At 47.2% G+C, this 20,297-nt stretch overlaps 1 protein-coding gene and 1 non-coding gene across 5 annotated transcripts in view; one reads left to right on the top strand and one right to left on the bottom strand.

The window, feature by feature from the left end:
- Positions 1-19,929, top strand: part of FAXDC2 (fatty acid hydroxylase domain containing 2) — a 32,112-nt gene extending 12,183 nt beyond the window's left edge. For 2 of the 4 annotated variants that reach the window (NM_032385.5, XM_006714753.3), the window contains 8 exons: positions 243-290; positions 3,487-3,578; positions 3,693-3,796; positions 7,499-7,620; positions 14,829-15,034; positions 15,844-15,949; positions 16,995-17,161; positions 17,949-19,929. In NM_032385.5, coding sequence (NP_115761.2) covers positions 243-290; positions 3,487-3,578; positions 3,693-3,796; positions 7,499-7,620; positions 14,829-15,034; positions 15,844-15,949; positions 16,995-17,161; positions 17,949-18,105 — 1,002 coding nt within the window. In that variant the 3' untranslated portion in view covers positions 18,106-19,929. Of the gene's footprint in view, positions 1-242; positions 291-3,362; positions 3,579-3,692; positions 3,797-7,498; positions 7,621-14,828; positions 15,035-15,843; positions 15,950-16,994; positions 17,162-17,948 lie in introns of those variants that run through there. The other 2 variants (XM_047416652.1, XM_047416654.1) reach the window with 2 other exon arrangements.
- Positions 8,881-8,963, bottom strand: MIR378H (microRNA 378h). The gene has a single exon (NR_039667.1). It is a non-coding gene; the product is annotated as a microRNA 378h (primary transcript).
- Positions 19,930-20,297: the final 368 nt, after the last annotated feature.

The raw sequence follows: 20,297 nt of genomic DNA, 5'->3' as shown, positions 1-20,297 counted from the left end.
CCTAGTAGCCCCCTCCCTTCCACCACTCTTTTTCTTTTCTGGCATTTTTCTAGCTATTCTTGTACATTTATCTCTCCATTAAGTTTTCAAATCAATTTGTCTGGTTTCAGGAAGAACAACAAGCCAATTTTTTTTTTTTTCAAAAATCACTGCTAGCCATACACTTTGACTTTCTCCACTCCCTACTTCCTTAGATGTTTATGAAAATAACTCCCCGGCTCGCCTGTGCTTTCTCATTCCAGATGAAAGGAGAAGCTGGACATATGCTACACAATGAAAAGTCAAAGCAGGTAAATGCCAGCACCTTGCCCCCAAACTGGTGAGAATGTAGTCAGTGGCTCTTTGCCATAGCTGCACTTGCTATGCATCCAACATCTCCCCCAAGGTTTAGGGGTGGCTGACACATGGTAATGTCTTCATTTTCAGTAACTGAGCAGAGTTCACTTGACTGCCAACTGCCTTTTACCCACAACCCCTTTGCCTGAATGCAGACTGCGAATGTGCGTTATGGAATTGAAAAGCATTGTAACTGTCCTCCCTTCTCCTCTTGGCTCTCCTGCCTGTAGCCCTTGGCATGTCCTATGCCTCGGGCCTTTGGAAAACCCCTTTCTATAACTTTCCTGGGGACAACAGAGGCTTTCTGGAGGTAGCTGAGAACTGGCCCTTGACCCCAGCTAACTCCTGCACTGCGTTTTCCTGCACTTCACAGAGGACCTTTGTCCTGTTTATATTTCCTTCACCTGGGCTGCTAGAGAGATGAAAAAACCCAACATCCCCGAACAAATATCTAATCCTGTATGTGAAACTGAGGTTTTAATTTGACTTAATTTGGTTTGATCAAACTCAGAAGATTAAAACTTCCAATGAGTCTAGAAAAGTTCCTGAAAAGAGCCCTTAAATTCCAAACAAAGGAATAACTGGAAAAGCCCAAGGTCACCAGTCTAGCAAACACAGGGCGACCTTTGAATGGCCCATGTAAAAGAACAAGTTCTGGTGGGTTACAGTGGCTCACACCTGTAATCCCAGCACTTTGGGAGACTAAGGCTGGAAGATCACATGAGGCCAAGAGTTTTGGACCAACCTGGGTGACAGAGAATAACATTGGCTCAAAAACAAACAAACAAACAAACAAACAAAAAAACAAAAAAAAGAGCAAGTTCCTCCAATTGGTCTGGCCAATCCAGCCTGAGAGAGAGAGAGAGAGTGTGTGCACGTGAGAGAATGCGAGTCAGTGAGTGAGCATGCTCATTTCCAAAGCTCAGGACTAGCCCTTCAAAAAAACATCCCTGCCCATGAAAAATGACTTCTGCTTGGTCTTTTGATCAGAAGTGGGATAGGATAATGCTGAGAAGAAACAGTTCAGTGCAGATTCAGATTGCTTAGAAGGGGTGAATTAAAACAATGTTTCCTCAGATCTTGAAAGTCTGGATTAAAATGTAGTGTCCTGGCCAGGTGTAGTGGCACATGCTTGTAATCCCAGCATTTTGGGATGCTGAGACAGGCAGATCACCTGAGGTCAGGAGTTCAAGACCAGCCTTGCCAACATGGCGAAACCCCATCTCTACTAAAAATCCAAAATTTAGCCGGGCTTGGTGGCAGGCACCTGCAATCCCAGCTACTCCGGAGGCTAAGGCAGGAGAATTGCTTGAACTTGGGAGGCAAGAATCGCTTGAACTTGGAAGGTGGAGATTGCAGTGAGCCGAGACTGCACCACTGCACTCCAGCCTGGGCAACACAGTAAGACTGTCTCAATTAAAAAAAAAAGTAAAAAAGTAGTGTCCTATTAGATCAGCTCCTCCAACATCCCCTCTGACACCCTGTACATGGCCCCATTAGCTAATTGCAGATGAGCCCCAGGCACACACAGGGTAGGGACCACCACCTCCAGTTCTTTCCTATGAAAGAATATGAGCAGACCCCGTCTGAGTTTAGAAACGGGATATGAGTGGGTCATCTGTAATTCCTGTCTGTCGTACAACGGAAATTGGTGATACACCTGGCAGCTGGTGTTTTCCCTCTCTGAATCTGGGGCATTGTTTGGTCATCGAGCTCACAATGACTTCTGGTTTAGAGGAGAACCTTTTGGAGGAGAATATACAAGGACCTCTCAGTGATTTCCAGTGGTCTCTCCTTGACCCTCAGAATGGCTAGTCGTCTTGTCCAGCTGGGAGCCTGGGCTAATCTTGCTGGAAGGCAGAGAGGGGTTATTAAAAGTCAGAAAGTGGCCGGGCACAGTGGCTTGTGCCTGTAATCCCAGCACTTTGGGAGGATGGGGCAGGTGAATTGCTTGAGGTTTAGAGTTCTAGGCCAGCCTGGCCAACATGGCAAAACCCCAGCTAACTTCGCTACTAAAAATACAAACATTAGGTGGGCATGGTGGCAGGTGCCTGTAATCCCAGCTACTCAGGAAGCTGGGGCAGGAGAATCACTTGAACCCTGGAGGCGGAGGTTGCAGTGAGCCAAGATGGTGCTTCACTCCAGCCTGGGTGACAGAGCAACACTGCCTCAAAAAAAAAAAAAAAAAAAAAAAAAAAAAAGTCGGCCGGGCGCGGTGGCTCACTCCTGTAATCCCAGCACTTAGGGAGGCTGAGGCGGGCAGATCACAAGGTCAGGAGATGGAGACCATCCTGGCTAACACAGTGAAACCCCGTCTCTATTAAAAATACAAAAAAATTAGCCGGGTGTGGTGGCGGGCTCCTGTAGTCCCAGCTACTCCAGAGTCTGAGGCAGGAGAATGGCATGAACCCGGGAGGCGGAGCTGGCAGTGAGCCAAGATCGTGCCACTGCACTCCAGCCTGGGCGACAGAGCGAGACTCTGTCTCAAAAAACAAAAAAACAAAAAAAGTCAGAAAACGTGTACAATTCACTCTTTCCTTCTAAAATAAGAGGAGGGTAGGGATGGAAGAAATGGGCCTGGCCTATGCACACAGTGAAGCCTGTATGACTGGGAAAGGATTTCCTCATCATGGTTTTGGCAGATGCTGCTATGATGACTATCTCAACCTTGCCTGCCCATTGGAATTAACTGGGGAGCCCAGGTCCCACCCCCAGGGACTCTTTATGTAATTGGATTGGAGGGGACCCTGGGTATTGGGACTTTTTTTAAGCTCCCAGGTGATTTCAATGTGTAGATAATGGGTATCTCCATTTGCCAAGAGGACTGGTGATGAAATCCTATGGCTGATAGAGGCTCGCCTGTCCTCTGACTGACAGAATTGCCTGCTAGTTTCTCTGGAGTCAGGCTAATTCCCTTCCCTCCCCCAACTTGAGCTCTAATTTTCATAAACACACCCATGTACAGCCTGAGAGCTCCTGATAAGGAAGAGGCTCCCACAGAAGCTGGAAAAGGCCAGCTGGAAAACGCAGATGTGCCTTCCTGGTTGGTTGAGATGCTGATCCTACAGCACTCCCGCTGTGCCTCAGCAGTGAGCTGGGTGTAAAGGCAGGAGGCTTGCTGGGGTCTGACACTTCCCTGCCCTCCTCCAGGAGGGACACATCTGGGGCTCTATGAGGAGGACAGCTTTCATCCTGGGCTCTGGACTTCTCTCATTTGTGGCCTTCTGGAACTCAGTGACATGGTAAGTCGGCTCCACCCAGCTAGGGTGCAGTGTGGTGGTGGTCGGGGGCAGAGCATAGGGGAAGGAGCTGTCCACCCACTAGTCTTCACCCAGAAACCTGGTTTTTTTTCCAAGGCATCTTCAGAGATTTTGGGGTGCTTCTGGCTACTTTTGGCAAGCCCAGTGGGAGAGGCTGCTGACTACATTTGAAGGGAAGGAGTGGATCCTCTTCTTTATAGGTGAGGTTCCCAGACCACCAGCACCTAGCATGTGGGTGCATGATTATAACTTAATTCTTTTTGTTGTTTTGTTCTCTACTTTGGGACTTTTCAGTTTATTATTCCAAGGGATGAGGACTTGAACTTCAAAAAAGTGGTAGTCCCAAAGAATACTAAACTTGTGGGCAGTCTGAAAACAGGATGTCTAAAAAAAGAAGCTGAGAAGTTAAGACTCCTCCCAAAATATAGAAAAATAAGAAATATTTTATGTAAAAATGAATGCACATTTAGAGCAATAATCCTGTTTCTACACTTAATTCCACAAGCACAGAGAGCTGCCCTGTCTTGTCTGAGACTATGTACCCTGTACCTGGTACAGTCAGTGCTTGACAGCAAGTGGCCAGTCAATAAATATTTACTGACAGCTTCAATGGCTCCAAACAAGCCTAAGTAAATAGATGGAAGGAAAAGCCATGTAAACATAGATATTTATAACAGCATTATCTATAATAGTGAATGTCCTCGATCATACATTCACTCAAATAATAATTATATACAATTTATTTAATATATATTATATATAATATACATTTATTTATATTATTAATATGACATATAATATATAATGTTACTATGTGCTACACTTGTATCGAGGATATAGAAATATTTAAGATGGGAGGCCAGGCGTGGTGGCTGACGCCTGTAATCCTAGCACCTTGGGAGGCTGAGGCAGGTGGATCACGAGGTCAGGAGTTTGAGACCAACCTGGCCAACATAGTGAAGCCTCGTTTCTACTAAAAATACAAAAAAATTAGCTGGGCATGGTGGCAGGCTCCTGTAATCCCAGCTACTTGGGAGGCTGAGGCAGGGAGAATCACTTGAACCTGGGAGGCGGGTTGCAGTGAGCCAAGATCATGACACTGCACTCCAGCTGGGCGACAGTGTGAAACTTCGTCTCAAAAAAAAAAGAAAGAAAGAAATATTTAAGATGGGGCTGGGCACAGTGGCTCACGCCTGTAATCCCAACACTTTGGGAGGCCAAGGCAGGTGGATCACTTGAAGTCAGGGGTTCGAGACCAGCCTGGCCAATATGGCAAAATCCCTTTTTCACTAAAAACACACACACACACAAATTAGCTGGGTGTGGTGGTGCGTGCCTGTAATCTCAACTACTCAGGAGGCTGAGGCATGAGAATTGCTTGAACCTGGGAGGCAGAGGTTGCAGTGAGCCGAGATGGTGCCACTGCACTCCAGCCTGGGCAATAGGGCACGACTCTGTCTCAAAAAAAAAAAAACAAAAATTAAGATAGGCCAAGATTAGTGGCTCACACCTGTAATCCCAGCACTTTGGGAGGCTGAGGCAGGCAGATCACTTGAGGCCAGGAATTCAAGACCAGCCTGGCCAACATAGTGAAACCTGTCTCTACTAAAAGTACAAAAAATGAGCCAGGCGTGGTGGTGCGTGCCTGTAATCCCAGCTACTCAGGAGGCTGAGGCACAAGCATCGCTTGAACTCAGGAGGTGGAGGTTGCAGTGAGCTGAGATAGCACCACTGCACTCCAGCCTGGGTGACAGAGCAAGACCCTGTCTCAAAAAAAAAAAAAGAAGTATTTAAATGAAATGTTTCCCTCCCCCATTAAAAAATGATGTCATAGTCTAGAAGGGAAGATAAAAAGTGTCAGTTGCTATAAAGCAAAATGCACCTGAGGATTGTTTTCAACTAGAAGGAGGACTCTGACAATGGGCTGAACATTAAATATGACAGATTTAATGGGATCTTAAGCAGTCATTGAACAATGCAGATTACCTATGTATATGGAGAAGGTGGTAGAAAAACTTTATTAGCTTGAACCTGCAATCTAAAAAAACCTCAAATATTTTATATATGTTAGGTACAATCCTGTGAAAATTACCTATTACCTTGGTGATAAGCCAATATGAGAGAGAGAAAATATTTCCAATTTTAAGTGTTAGAGCTAGAAGAAGTTTAAGATCGTCTTACGGTGTGCTTTTCATCTGTATTCCTCAGGCAGCCTTTGAAGTTCCAAGTAGGTAGACACCTTGGATGGCCCACTGGGTAACCATCAGCCTTTTTTTTCCAAAGTAAAAAATAGTTTATTTTTTCTGGGTATAAAAGTAAATATGGGCCAGGCGCAGTGGCTCACGCCTGTAATCCCAGCACTTTGGGAGGCCGAGGCAGGCGGATCATGAGGTCAGGAGATCGAGACCATGGTGAAACCCCGTCTCTACTAAAAATACAAAAAATTAGTCGGGCGCGGTGGCGGGCGCCAGTAGTCCCAGCTACTCAGGAGGCTGAGGCAGGAGAATGGCGTGAACCCGGGAGGCAGATCTTGCAGCGAGCTGAGCTCACGCCACTGCACTCCAGCCTGGGTGACAGAGCAAGACTCTGTCTCAAAAAAAAAAAAAAACAAAAGTAAATATGTGCTCATTGTTAAAAATAAAAATCAGGCAATTCAAATAAGCATAGAAAGTGTGAAAATCACCCACTGTCTTACCTTCAAGAAATAACCACTGTTTATATATTAGTGTGCATCTTTTATATATTGGGTATATAGTTGTACTTATGAGATACCAACTATTTTTAAATCTTTTTTTCATTGAATAGATTGTAGGTATCTTTCCATGCCTATTAATGTAGCCTTACTTAATACTCTAAGCTTCCCATTCTATTCCATTATATGGAAATACTCTAATCTGTTTAGTCCCTTCCCTACTAATGGGTATTTAGGCTGCTTAAATTTTTTTTTTAATGCTGTGACGGACATTTATGCATACAAACAGACGTGTGTCCTTTTCTTCTTTCTCCCTTTCTGTCTTGGCTCTCTGACTCTCTCACTTTATTACTTCAGTTACTGCCAAATTGCCCTCTAGAAGGTTTGTACCAATCCTACTCCCCTACAGTGCTGGCAAGTATTTTCCAAGTCCCAGCCGCCACAGTTACTTCGGTTGATGGAGCATGAAGGGTGCTGGTGGAGGGGCACAGACATGGAATTAAGCAAAGCCGAGTCCTAGCTGGGCATGGTGGCAGGTGCCGGTAGCCCCAACTATTCAGGAGGCTGAAGCAAGAGGATCACTTCGGCTTGGCAGGTCGAGGCTACAGTGAGCCATGATCACACAACTGCACTTCCAGCCTGGATGACAGAGAGAGGCTTTGTCTCAAAAAAACAAACAAACAAACAACAAAAAAAAAACAACGATGAGTTTTCCACTTATACTGACTAGATGACACCTGAAGTTCTGCTGCTCAGTTAGTAGGATGACAGGGATTAAGTTTCCTGACTGACTCCTAGCCCAGGGCTCACTGTGACCCATACCATACAGAGTACTTCCTTTGCTTCTCCTTCCTTGGCAATTCATAAAGGGTTCAGTGGGCGCAGACTCCCAAATGTCAACCTGAATTCATTTCTATTTTAGAGGGTATTATATATCTTAACATACTTTCATATGTATTTATATGAAAACCACCAACCACCTTGAAGGTTGTCCCTATTTTATGGCTAAGAAAATGGAGACACTCCTTAAATGGCCTGTCCAAGTTCCTACCCAAGACTACAGGTAACCCCTTGGTCCCAAGCCCTAAGACCTCCCTGGCAAAGAAATGTCTAGGATGAAGCCTCAGTCACCACAAAAAAGTATGTTCTGTTAGTCTATGTGCTGTGAGAACCCAAAGTCGCCCTGACTGTTTCTGTTTCCCAATCTCAGGTGCCATCCAAGTGCCTTGTCTCTTCTTCTGGAGCTTCAATGGGCTTCTATTGGTGGTTGACACAACAGGAAAACCTAACTTCATCTCTCGCTACCGAATTCAGGTCGGCAAGAATGAACCTGTAAGTGTTGTTGCAACTTCTGGTCAAAGCACAGAAAGCAAGAGCCAAAGCCACACTCTCAGAATTCTCACCACTGGCCCAGGAGAGACCTGGCCAGTGTGAGCCAAGTTATTAGCAACAAGGCTCCCCCAGTTTAGAAGGTTAAAGAGAGGAAATAATTTGCCCACAACCTCAGAGTCACTCAGCTAGTGGCCAGTCAAGACCAGTGTTCTGGTCTCTTGATTCCTGGCCCAGGCTCTGGACCTGCCTGTGGTGCCCCATGGCACTGTGGTCAGCCTGGCACTGAGAAGGCAGGCAACTCCACTTTACCCATAGGAATGGAGACAGCAATGGGTGGATGCTAGAATATGGGTAACAGCTGTTGTTATGAGAGAGGGAGACAGCTGCGAAAACAATGGATAACTCCACTGTAATAGACGGATAGTATGGATTCTGAATGTGTGGGCGGTGGCTGTCTTTTAAACAAGTTCTCCTTCCGAAATACTCAATTCGACCAATAGTGAAAGGCACCAGGGCAAATCCATGATAAGTGAGGCCCAGACCCTGCTTACAAGGAACTCTGACTTGCACAGCGCCGGGAAGTGGGTCCCACTGTTCCCTGAGTCTGGCTCGCCTTTTCCTACACAACAAGGAAGAAGTTGATTCTGAAACCCAGGTTCTTTACCCAGCTCCACCCAAACCACATCCTGGCTTCTTTCCCAGACAAGACAATCATCTTTTAGTCATCTGCCCAGGTGTCTGGGTGAACCACCTCAGCTCTCAGGTCCTTTTGCCCCAGCCCAGCACTCCAGAAAGGCAAACAGTGCTCTTGACCCACTCCTTTGAAGTGGGCCCCTTCCTGAACTGGACTGCTGGCCTGGCTTACTGTCCCCCTCACTTGGGACAACAGCTGCCAGCCAGGCTTGGGGGCTTCCTCCAGGCCCAGCTTGGCAGGACATGAATCAGAGCCTAAAGTGTCAAACCCTGTGCTTGGTCCTTGAGAACACTTCATCTGTCAACCACGGCTGTTGTAGCACCACTGACTAAATGCTCACATCTTCAACTGAGGCCAAGAACCTTCACTGTTCAGATGAGGAAACAGAGGTGTTACACGGGTAAACTATGATTCAAATGCAGGCTTTGTGACTTCAGGGCTCACATTCTTAATTGGCTCTCCAGAATATTACCTGCCGTCTGTACAACCTTGTGGTCTACACAATGACTACAGAGCTACATTGGAAGATGTCATTGCATTCTGCAGAAGCTGAGGTTCAGAAATGTCCAGTGACTAGCTCAAGATCAGATTGCTGCTAGGAAACAGAGCCAGGGCTCATCCCATCTGACACCAAGTCCAGTGTTCCTGTACCACATGCACCCTCAAGTGGGCACACAAGCAGGAAAGAACCTCACGAGGCCATTTAATCTTTGGCTGTTTCAAGGAAGGACTGGCCCCTGAACTAACACATCAGAAACAGATCCTCAAGTGGGGAGCTGAATGCTACCTGGTGTTCCTATGATCCATTCCTGCTCTGTTTACTCTCCCACTGCCTGAATGGCTAGTTCACACCTCCTCCCCTAACTGCTGGCAGAGGGAGGGGCCTTGCTTCCCATTTCACTAAGAAAATTTAAGCCTGGGCGTGGTGGTTCATGCCTGTAATCCCAGCACTTTGGGAGGCCGAGATGGGCAAATCACTTGAGCTCCGGAGTTCAAGACCAGCCTGGGCAACATGGCAAAACCCTGCCTCTACTAAAAATACAAAAATTAGCTGGGCATGGTGGCGCATGCCTGGAGGAGAATTGCTTGAACCTGGGAGGCAGAGGTTACAGTGAGCCGAGATTGCACCACTGCACTCCAGCCTGGGCGACAGAGCAAGACTCTGCCTCAAAAAAAAAAAAAAAGAAAAAAAGAAAATTTACGCAGGCTGGGGCACAGTGGCTCAGGCTTGTAATCTCAGCACTTTGGGAGGCAGAGACAGGAGGATCGCTTGATGCTAGGAGTTCAAGACCAGCCTGGGCAACATAGTGAGATCCCTGTCTCTACAAAAAAAATTATTTTAATTAGCCGGGCACAGTGGCGTGTGTCTGTAGTCTCAGCTAGTCAGGAGGTCAAGGCAGGAGGATCACTTGAACCTAGGAGTTCAAGGCTGAAGCGAGCCATGGTTGTGCTATTGCACTCCAGCCTGGGAGACAGAGTGAGACACTGTCTCTAGGGGGAAAAAAAAAACAAAAAACTAAAGCAAGCAGAAGAGTTTTATAGATGCACACCACATTGGGCAGTGACCAGTACCTGCACCCACATGCTCTGCCTGCCCACCTGACACCACAGGTGAACTCTCCTTGCTCCTGTCTGTGGGTGATTCCTCCCCTATCCATGTACTACATCCAGGAAATGGCTGCTGCAATTCTCTCTTTGCTTTCTTGTATCTTCTTTTCCTTCTCTTTCTCTCATTATTCCTCTCTAGATTATTACAAACGTGGTAAATTTTTTCCATCTAAAAAACAAAACAAAACAAAACAAAACAAAAAAAACCCCACCAAGTGTGGTTGCTCACTACTGTAATCCCAAACTTTGGGAGGCTGAGCCAGAAGAATCGCTTGAGCCCAGGAGTTTGAGATCAGCCTGGGTGACAGAGTGAGATCCTGACTCAAAAAGAAAAATAAATAAATAAAACAGGCCAGGTGTGGTGGCTCACGCCTGTAATCCCAGACTTTGGCAGTCTGAGGCAGGAGGATCACTTGAGCCCAGGAGTTCGAGACCAGCCCAAGCGACAGAACGAGATCCCATCTCTACAAAAAATTTTTTAACTAGGCAAGTGAGGTGGCGTTTGCCTGTAGTCCCAGCTACTTGGGAAGCTGAGACGGGAGGATTGCTTGAGCCCAGGAGGTCGAGGTTACAGTGAGCTATGATCATACCACTACACTCTAGCCTGAGTGACAGAGTGAGACACTGACTCAAAAAGAAGGAAAAAAAACAGGCCAGGTGGAGTAGTTCACACCTGTAATCCTACCACTTTGTAAGGCCAAGGCAGGAGGAATGCCTAAGCTCAGGAGTTTGAGACCAGTCTGGGCAACATGACAAAACACCCCACCCAACACTGTCTCTACAAAAAATACAAAAATTAGCTGGGTGTGATGGTGCATGCCTGTAGTCCTAGCTACTTGGGAGGCTGAGGTGGGAGGACTGCTTGAGCCCAGGAGGTTGAGGCTGCAGTAAGCTACGGTTAGGTGTAATGGCCTCACCTAACATGTCCTCTCACAACAGGCTGGCGAAACCTGGCCTCGCGATGGGATGGAAGTAAACAAAGAGTGCACTCCAGCCTGGGTGACAGAGTGAGATCCTCTCTCACAAAAAAACAGACATACACACACACACACACACACACACACACACACACACACAAAATAACAGAAAAAACAACTCTTAACTAGCAAAGTTCTTTGAGAGAGTTATCTTTATAGTTTCCAATTCCTGTCTGTCCACTCTTATTTGGGTTTTGTTGGTTTTTTTTTTTTTTTGAGACAGTCTCCCTCTGTCACCCAGGCTGGAGTGCAGTGGCACTGCGATCTTGGCTCACCGTAACCTCCACTTCCTGGGTTCAAGCAATTCTCCTGCCTCAGCCTTCCAAGTAGCTGGGATTACAGGCGTGTGCCATCACGCCTGGGTAATTTTTGTATTTTCAGTAGAGATGGGGTTTCACCATGTTGGCCAGGCTGGTCTCGAACTCCTGGCCTCAGGTGATCCACTAGCCTCGGACTCCCCAAGTGCTGGGATAAAAGGCGTGAGACACCACGCCCGGCCATCTGTCTACTCTTTTCCCCAACATCCTGTAATTATGAAAAATGTTAAAAATACATACAGAAGGTTGAAAAATAATGTAAGAATTATGCATTTACATATCACTTAGATTCACCAATTTTAAATATTTTTGCTTTATATATAAAAATATAAATATATATGCATCTATACATTTTTCCTATTTGAAAGTGAGTTTGAAACATCATAAAACTTGACCCCTAAATCCTTTAGCCTGCATCTCTCCTAAAGTAATCACAAAAGCATTGTCTCATTTTCTCTATAAACCTCCTCCAAATTAGGTGTCACACCTAGAAAAAGGCTCTACCAACATTTCTTTTGGTAAGTTCACCAATGATATGGTTTCATTAGAGCACCAGAGACATTTCCACAGCTGCTGACTCCCTCAGCCTTGAAATATTTTTTTCACTTGGCTTCCAGGACACCCTGCTCTCTAGGTAGCCCCTCAATATTTTCTTTTCTTTTTTTTTTTTTTTTTTTAGAGACAGTCTTGCTCTGTTGCTCAGGCTGGAGTACAATGGCGCAATCTTGGCTCACTGCAACCTCTGTCTCCCGGGTTCAAGCGATTCTCCTGCCTCAGCCTCCCCAGTAGTTGGGATTACAGGCACCTGCCACCATGCCCAGCTAATTTTTTGTATTTTTAGTAGAGACGGGGTTTCACCAAGATGCCCAGGCTGGTCTTGAACTCCTGACCTCAGGTGATCCATCCACCTCGGCCTCACAAACTGCTGGGATTACAGGCATGAGCCACCGCGCCCGGCTCCCCATCACATCTGATTGTTCACTTTTTCACTGTCCCTTTCCTGATTCCTTCTCTTCTCCCCAACCTCTTCATGCTGAATGTCCCATGGGCTCTGGCCTTGGTCCTCTTCTCTATATTCATTCCCCCAGTTATCTCTTCAGTGCCATGACTTTAAATACCATCCATAGGCCGACAGCTCACACATTTATCTCTCTAGCCCAGAACTCTCTACTGAATTCCAAGCTGAAATATCCAACTCCCTCCTTGACATCTCCACGTGGATACTAATAGAAATTGCCAATTCATGATGTCCAAAAGAGCATTTCTGATCGTCCTGCCAAAGCCTTTACTTACTACCCACAACCTCCCCAATCTGAGTGGATGGCAATTCCAATCTTCCAGTTTCTCAGGCCAAAAACCTTGGAGTCATTCTTGACTACTCTCTTTCCTTCATACTCCACATCCAATCTATCCAGGAACCCTATTAACTCTATTTCTGAAATAAATTCAGAATCCAGTCACTTCTTACCACTTCTCACCACTTCCATCACTATTACCCTGGTCTAATTCACCATCTTCTCTTGTCTATATTACTGCTTTTTTTTTTTTTTTTTTGAGACGGAGTCTCACTCTGTCACCCAGGCTGGAGTGCAATGGAGCAATCTCGGCTCACTGCAACCTCCCGGGTTCAAGTGATTCTCCTGCCTCAGCCTCCTGAGTAGCTGGGATTACAGGCGCACACTACCATGCCTGGCTAATTTTTGTATTTTTAGTAGAGACAGGGTTTCACCGTATTGGTCAGGCTGGTCTCAAACTCCTGACCTCGTGATCTGCCTGCCTTGGCCTCCCAAAGTGCTGGGATTACAGGCATGAGCCACAGCACCGGCCTGCCTTTTTTTTTGATGGAGTCTTGCTCTGTCACCGAGGCTAGAGTGCAGTGGCATGATCTCGGTGGCTCACTACAACCTCCGCCTCCCGGATTCAAGTGATTCTCCTGCCTCAGCCTCCCGAGTAGCTGGGACTACAAGTGCATGCCACCACGCCTAGCTAAGTTTTTGTATTTTTCGTAGAGACGAGGTTTCACCATGTTAGCCAGGATGGTCTCAATCTCCTGACCTCATAACCTGCCCACCTTGGCTTCCCAAAGTGCTGGGATTACAGGCGTAAGCCACAGCGACTGGCCCTTTTTTTTTTTTTTTTTTTTTTTAACAAGATTGGGTCTCACTCTCTCACGCAGGCTGGTGTGCCTTAAACTCCTGGACTCACATGATCCTTCCACCCCAGGCTTCTGAATAGCTGGGACTACAGGTGCACACCACCACATCCAGCTTTTTAAAAAAAATTAGATGGGGTTTCGTGATGTTGCCAAGGCTGCTCTCAAATTCCTGGCCTCAAGTGATCCTCCCACCTCCACCTCCCAAAGTGCTGGGATTACAGGTGTGAGCCACCGTGCCCAGCCTGATATATATGTTTTTATATTTGTTGTGTCTAGTCTACCTTTCTCACTGGAACATAAATTCCATGGGGGCAGGAATCTTTGTTTTGCTCATGCTTTATTTTCAACACCCAGTACACTGAGTGCTACATAGTGGGTACTCAATAAATATCAGTTAAATAAATAAATGAATAGATAGATGTGATACCCCGCCTCTTGGTCAAGGTTTCCAGAAGGTGTAATGGCCTCACCTAACATGTCCTCTCACAACAGGCTGGCGAGACCTGGCCTCGCAATGGGATGGAAGTAAACAAAGAGTGAATTCTGAAATCAGTTAATGCATGCAGTGCCTGGAAAGGCTGGAGGAAGAGGCAGGCCTCAAGCTGGGGACCATTCTGAACCTGTCGCGCTTTGGGGCAGAAATCCCTCCAGCTCACAGAGGGAACTTGGAGAAATCCCTTCTAACCAAACAAGTTCATCAGGATCCAGGAAGTAATCTATGGTCACAGGACTGTTGCCTGGAGCCCCAGTGCTCTGACAAAGGGAAGGGTCAAAGGGTTGCTGATTCTGGGGGAAATATTGGCTGCAGTATTGAGGCCAAATGGACTTTGGACACTTGGGACCAGCTCTGTACAGTGGACCCTGGTGGAAATGCTTGGGCAGGCCCCCATCTTCACAGCATCACTGTGAAAACCAGCAAGTTGGTCAAGAAGCTGGATAAGCAGTTCCTTGGCTTACCTGCTTCTTTGCTCTGGGCCTACTGCAGGGAGGCTGGACCACTTGAGGAGGCAGATGATCTTGATCTCTGCATCCAATCATGAACAAGGTTCTCTGATGAAGAGGGGCTAAATGGCTGAAATGGGGTATCACTCAGAAAGTCACAGCCTTCTCCAAGCACCATGGAGGCTACCCAAGTTACCTGTAAATACATGGGGCCTGGCCAGAGAAATGGGGAGGGCAGTGGTGATAATGTGCAGAACCAGGAAGAAGGCAGGTTCCGACACAGACTGAAGGCTGCTGAAGTTTCCAAGGACAGGGGTATTACTCACCTGCCTAGCAGCCAGGGCCTTATTCTGCAACGTTTCCAGGCCCAGAGCTGGGTGGCAGTCAGGAGCTACTGGCTGTCCCCCGACATCTCTCCCAGAATCCAACCAGAGTGAGGGCCTCCTGTAAGCAGGTCACGGTGGAGCCTACTTCTCACACTCTTATCCATCTCCCTCCTCCCTTCCCTTGGGCAGGTGGATCCTGTGAAACTGCGCCAGTCTATCCGCACAGTTCTTTTCAACCAGTGCATGATATCTTTCCCCATGGTGGTCTTCCTCTATCCCTTCCTCAAATGGTGGAGAGACCCCTGCCGCCGTGAGCTACCCACCTTCCACTGGTTCCTCCTGGAGCTGGCCATCTTCACGCTGATCGAGGAAGTCTTGTTCTACTATTCACACCGGTGAGCAGGCCCTGCCTGAGGCACAGCTGGCTCCTCATCCTGTCTAGGGCTCACTGATCAACAAGGAAACTGAGGCCAGGTGCAGTGACTCACGCTTGTAATCCTGGCAATTTGGGAGGCTGAGGTGGGCGGATCACTTGAGCCCAGGAGTTTGAGACTAGCCTGGGGAATGTCAGGAGACCCCGTCTCTACAAAAAAATTTAAAAAATTAGCCAGGCATGGTGGTGTGTACTTGTAGTCCCAGCTACTTGGGAGATTGAGGTGGGAGGATCACATGAGCCCGGGAGGTCAAGGCTATAGTGAGCTGTGATCACACCACTGCACTCCAGCCTGGGCGAAAGAGCAAGACCTTGTCTCAAAGAAAAAAAATAAAAGGGAACAGGCTTCTGAATTGAGTGTAGGCCAGTAAAATACTCCCTGGCCTCAAGTGTCCCATTAAATAGTTAACAGGGAGACCACTAGTTGTCTCATAACTGACAACTTGGGACAACTGAGGAATGAATGTCCAAAAGAGAAAAGGCCTCTCTGATTGTGTGGGAGCCAGGGCAGTTTCCCATTCATTTCCTTATTCAGTCCTTTCTGGGCAGCATCCCATTTTACAGCGAATACAACTGGCATAGAGAAGCAAAGCAACCCACTCCCAAACTATGCAGTATAAGGGCTGGGGTTGAAATTTGAAGGCAGGTCTTGGTGTTGTTAACTTTGCTCCATGGATGTAACCCCTAGTTCCTATTTTTGGTTTCTCATGGTCTGGTCGGGGAGGGAGAAAGAGGAATCAGCAGGTTATTAACTATTAACTATTTCCCCAGGCTCCTTCACCACCCAACATTCTACAAGAAAATCCACAAGAAACACCATGAGTGGACAGCTCCCATTGGCGTGATCTCTCTCTATGCCCACCCTATAGAGCATGCAGTGAGTAGAGCTCTATGCTCCCCAGAGCAAAGGGCAGATGGCCCCAACCACCTTCCTGAAGGTCTCCTGCAGAGAACTTAGACCACACCGGCCCTTTTTCTTCCCATTTAAAAATAGCTACCATTTATTGTCAGCCTTCCATATGCCAGGCTATGTTAAGTGCTAACACAGTTGTCTCATTTAATCATCCCAACAACTTTCTTTTTTTCTTTTTGAGACAGGGTCTTGCTCTGTCACCCAGGTTGGAGTGCAGTGGTGTGATCATAGCTCACTGCAGCCTCCAACCCCTGGGCTCATGTGATCCTCTAGCTTCAGTCTTCCAAATAGCTGAGACCACACGTGTGCACTTCCAAATAGCTGAGACCACACGTGTGCACCACCAAATCTGGAGTCTCACTGTGTCATCTTGGCTGGAGTGCAATGGCATGATCTCGGCTCACTGCAATCTCCCGCCTCCCGGGTTCAAGCCATTCTCCTGTCTCAGCCTCCTGAGTAGCTGGGATTACAGGCGTGTGCCACCACGCCTGGCTGATTTTTGTATTTTTAGTAGGACAGGTTTTCACCATGTTGGTCAGGCTGGTCTCAAACTCCTGACCTCGTGATCTACCCGCCTTGGCCTCCCAAAGTGTTGGGATTATAGGAGTGAGCCATCGCACCTGGCCACATCTGGCTAATTTTTAAATTTTTTTGTAGAGTCGGGATCCTGCTATTTTGCCCAGACTGGCTGGAACCCCTGGCCTCAAGCAATCCTCCCACCTCTGTCTCCCAAATTGCTGGGATTACAGGCATGAATCACCACACCTGGCTCCTCCAACAACCTTTTTAATCTTAATTTTGCTAACAAGAAAGTTGAGGCTCAAACTGCGTAATTTGTCCCAAGTTACAAAGGTGAATGCCTTCAACAAATCAAAGTCCCGAAACTCTCACCTTCTCCAGATCTGGGTCAAGGAAGTTTGCCTCTGGTACCACCTTGGGACTAAGTGTATACCCAACTAAGTCCCTTCATCTCCCTGGACCCTGCCTTCAATCATCCCTCCTCTTGCAGGTCTCCAACATGCTACCGGTGATAGTGGGCCCATTAGTAATGGGCTCCCACTTGTCCTCCATCACCATGTGGTTTTCCTTGGCCCTCATCATCACCACCATCTCCCACTGTGGCTACCACCTTCCCTTCCTGCCTTCGCCTGAATTCCACGACTACCACCATCTCAAGTAAGGACCTTCTCCCCACAATGGGTCCCTAGGCAACAACCATCACCCTCCCTCCTTAAGCTTCTGATAGCAGGCACTGGTATCTCAGTTTACATGTGAGTGCTAGTTGGGGAAGAGGTCTGATGGCTGGGAAAATAACCACACTGGGATGACCTTACTCTTTTCCTTCTGAAATTGGGTCCTCCTCCAACTGGGGGTTTTAAACCTTTATTTGGACTCTGGGCCCTTTGAATAAGCTCTGGACATTCTCTTTAGAAAAGTACATATATGCATAAAACTCCTGCAGGCAATCACAAGGAAGTCATGTATCTCTGAAAGCCCCAGACTTTTTCAAGTGTAGTCTACAAACCTCCTATACCAGAATCACCTGAGATGCTTGTTTAAAATATAGGCTCTTGAATTCCACTCCAAATATGCTGAACTAAGGTATCTGGGGGAGCAGGGCCTGGAAACCTGCATTTTAGTTAAGTGTTCCAGGGGATTCTGATGCTGGTGATCTCATACCTGAAGAAGCCTAGTTCTGCTAGAGATTCTCAGACTGTGGGCATCAATCACACAGCAAGCTTTTCAAAGGAGGACTCCAGATACGGCAAATTGCAGGTTTGGAGTGGCCCCCGGGAGATGCATTGGTAGCAACTCCCCAGCTTATTCTGATGCAGATGGTCAGGATGGTGGTGACAGGTGTGGGGTAGGAGGGCTGAGAAATGTGTGAGGCTGGCACAAATGAAATGGGATCTGCACGGAAGCCTCCAGCATGGGCACTGCAGTGCCGTCCTCTCTCTTCTAGGTTCAACCAGTGCTATGGGGTGCTGGGTGTGCTGGACCACCTCCATGGGACTGACACCATGTTCAAGCAGACCAAGGCCTACGAGAGACATGTCCTCCTGCTGGGCTTCACCCCGCTCTCTGAGAGCATCCCAGACTCCCCAAAGAGGATGGAGTGAGAGACAGCCTAAGTGTCATCCTGGCTGTCCCTCAGCCATGGGATGCAGACACGGCTTCCTGATTGCACCTAACAATTTGCCTCCTTCGGCCACACGCCCTAATGATGGCACCACCAGGGTAGAGGGAAGGTCGGCTTCCCGGAAAAGCAGGGCCAAGGATGAGGCTTTCTTCAAACTACTGCCCTTGATGTCCCTCAATGGGATCAGGAGTTAGCTTAAGAAAAAGGAAAACACAGCTCCCCAGACTGGAGGCTGGTCAGAGGGAGGAGACCCCTGGTCCTCTGCTGTGGAAGGAGAGGGGTTCAGCCCCAGATAACTCCTTTGTGGCCTGGGCAGGATGCAGAGAATGACAAGGCTGAAAGGAGGGGGACTGGAGGCTGCCTGGCTCCAGCGAGAGCTCCTTCTGGGACCAGAGGGTGGGACGGCCAGGTATCACTTTGCCCCTTCCTGCCCCAAAAGGCTTTCACATACCCGACTCAGGCCAGAGCCAAGACACCCTGGCAAATCATTATAGGTCTCAATTCATGACATACCAGATGCCAGTCGCCACTTCACCCAACACACACACAAACATACACACACCAAACACTCTGAGTGAGTGGTAAAGGCCCCGTTTTAACTCTGGCCCACCGCAAACAAAAGGTTTCCCTCTGTGGGGGAGAAAAAGAAATCCAGGAGCTCCTCCCTGGATTAAAACCAACGAGGTGCAGACCAAACTTTAACACCTTTAGCCTTATGTGGAAACCAAAAACCAACTGCTGGGAAACTGTGAAAAGCCCTTTTACCCACAAGGGGAGGGGTCAAAGTTGCTGCCCTTTGGGGACACCCGAGACCCCTAATTAGCCTATCTGAATGAGGACCAAAGGTTAGAGCCCTCTTTCTCCCCGAAGAAAGAGCCCGGAAAAACATGGCAGAGCAAAGAGCAAAATCCTTTCTCCCCCGAATGCTTTACCAGTTTCTCAGCAACATTTATTCAAGATGATTTTTACCAGGAACCTTATCAAAGGCAAAACCACAGCTGCTTGGGTTGAAGTCCCCATCCTGGCCTCCTCTCAGCCGCCAGACATGGCCAGGAACCCTGTGGTTCCCAAGAACAATTTAAAGATCACTCTTTGATTTGAAAGACCACCATTATCATTTTACTAAATTCTTATATATACTTGTGCCTTTTCCAACTTTCAGTTCTCTTAAGAAAAACATCCACTGTAGCTTTATAAAATACCTTAGTATCAGCTAGGTCCAAGTCTCCAGGCAGGACTATCAAAATGGACTCCTTCTTCCTATCAGCTCTAGAACCCCAGAGGACTTGCCCAGTAGGCCAGCTGAGCACTTACCAGGCAGCATCTCCCTGGCCTTCCACAGTCTCGCCTGTCTGTCTCTGGCCTTGGTGGACCTGGCTCCCTCCCTAGGAGGCTTTTGCCCTCAGCTTGAATACAGTTCCTGGTGCATCAAAGCTGTAAGTTCTCAGCTGCTGGCCTGCACTCATCACCTCTTCCTACAAATAAACATTTGGAAAAAAGTCCATCTTCAATATGCTTAAAGAGAAGGGTAGGAGATAAGGAGAAAGAACAGATACGGTTTTTTTCCCCTTTAAGGCCTTTAGATTTTGAGGTACTGTAAGGGGCCTAGAAGGACAAAAGGCTTTCATTCCCTCTTCCTTTTGGCAGGCAGGTTATCAGTCCTTGGCAGAAGGGCCCAGCCCTATCCTTTTCTGTATCAAACAAAATCCTTGAGGTTGGTATACAAGTTAAGGCTGAAAAAAGGCCTTAAATTCCCAGTAAAGAATGTGAAAGCAAGCATGTAAAATAAACTGGTCTTCATGAATTCCAGTGGATAATTTTTTTTTGAAGGGAGGTGTCTACTACAAGACTTCTAATACTTCAGACATAGCATTTGGAAGCTCAGGCTGTGAAATTAAGCTGCTGTGAGCATTCCTAACGATAATTTGTGAAAGTAAGTTTCAATTAATTCATCTTTCTGTTTTCAAAGTACCAATCCGTCTGCATCAGCCCTGGACACTATCTCCTAAACTTTCCTTTGGCCTGTGGAGGTCACTGGTGGTACTGAAGTACCTGCCAACCTCAAGAACAGTGAAAAAGCACTCTCTGGAAAAACCATTTACCCAAGCCAGGTATGGGAGACAGTTGTCAGATGAACACGTAAATAAGGCCATGCCCCATTTTTAGTTTTGT

This window comes from Homo sapiens, chromosome 5 (genome assembly GCF_000001405.40).
Source record: "Homo sapiens chromosome 5, GRCh38.p14 Primary Assembly".
In the NCBI taxonomy this organism is placed as follows: Eukaryota; Metazoa; Chordata; class Mammalia; order Primates; family Hominidae; genus Homo; species Homo sapiens.
The sequence above is the reverse complement of the archived record's forward strand: the minus strand, read 5'-3'. Positions and strand labels throughout refer to the sequence as shown.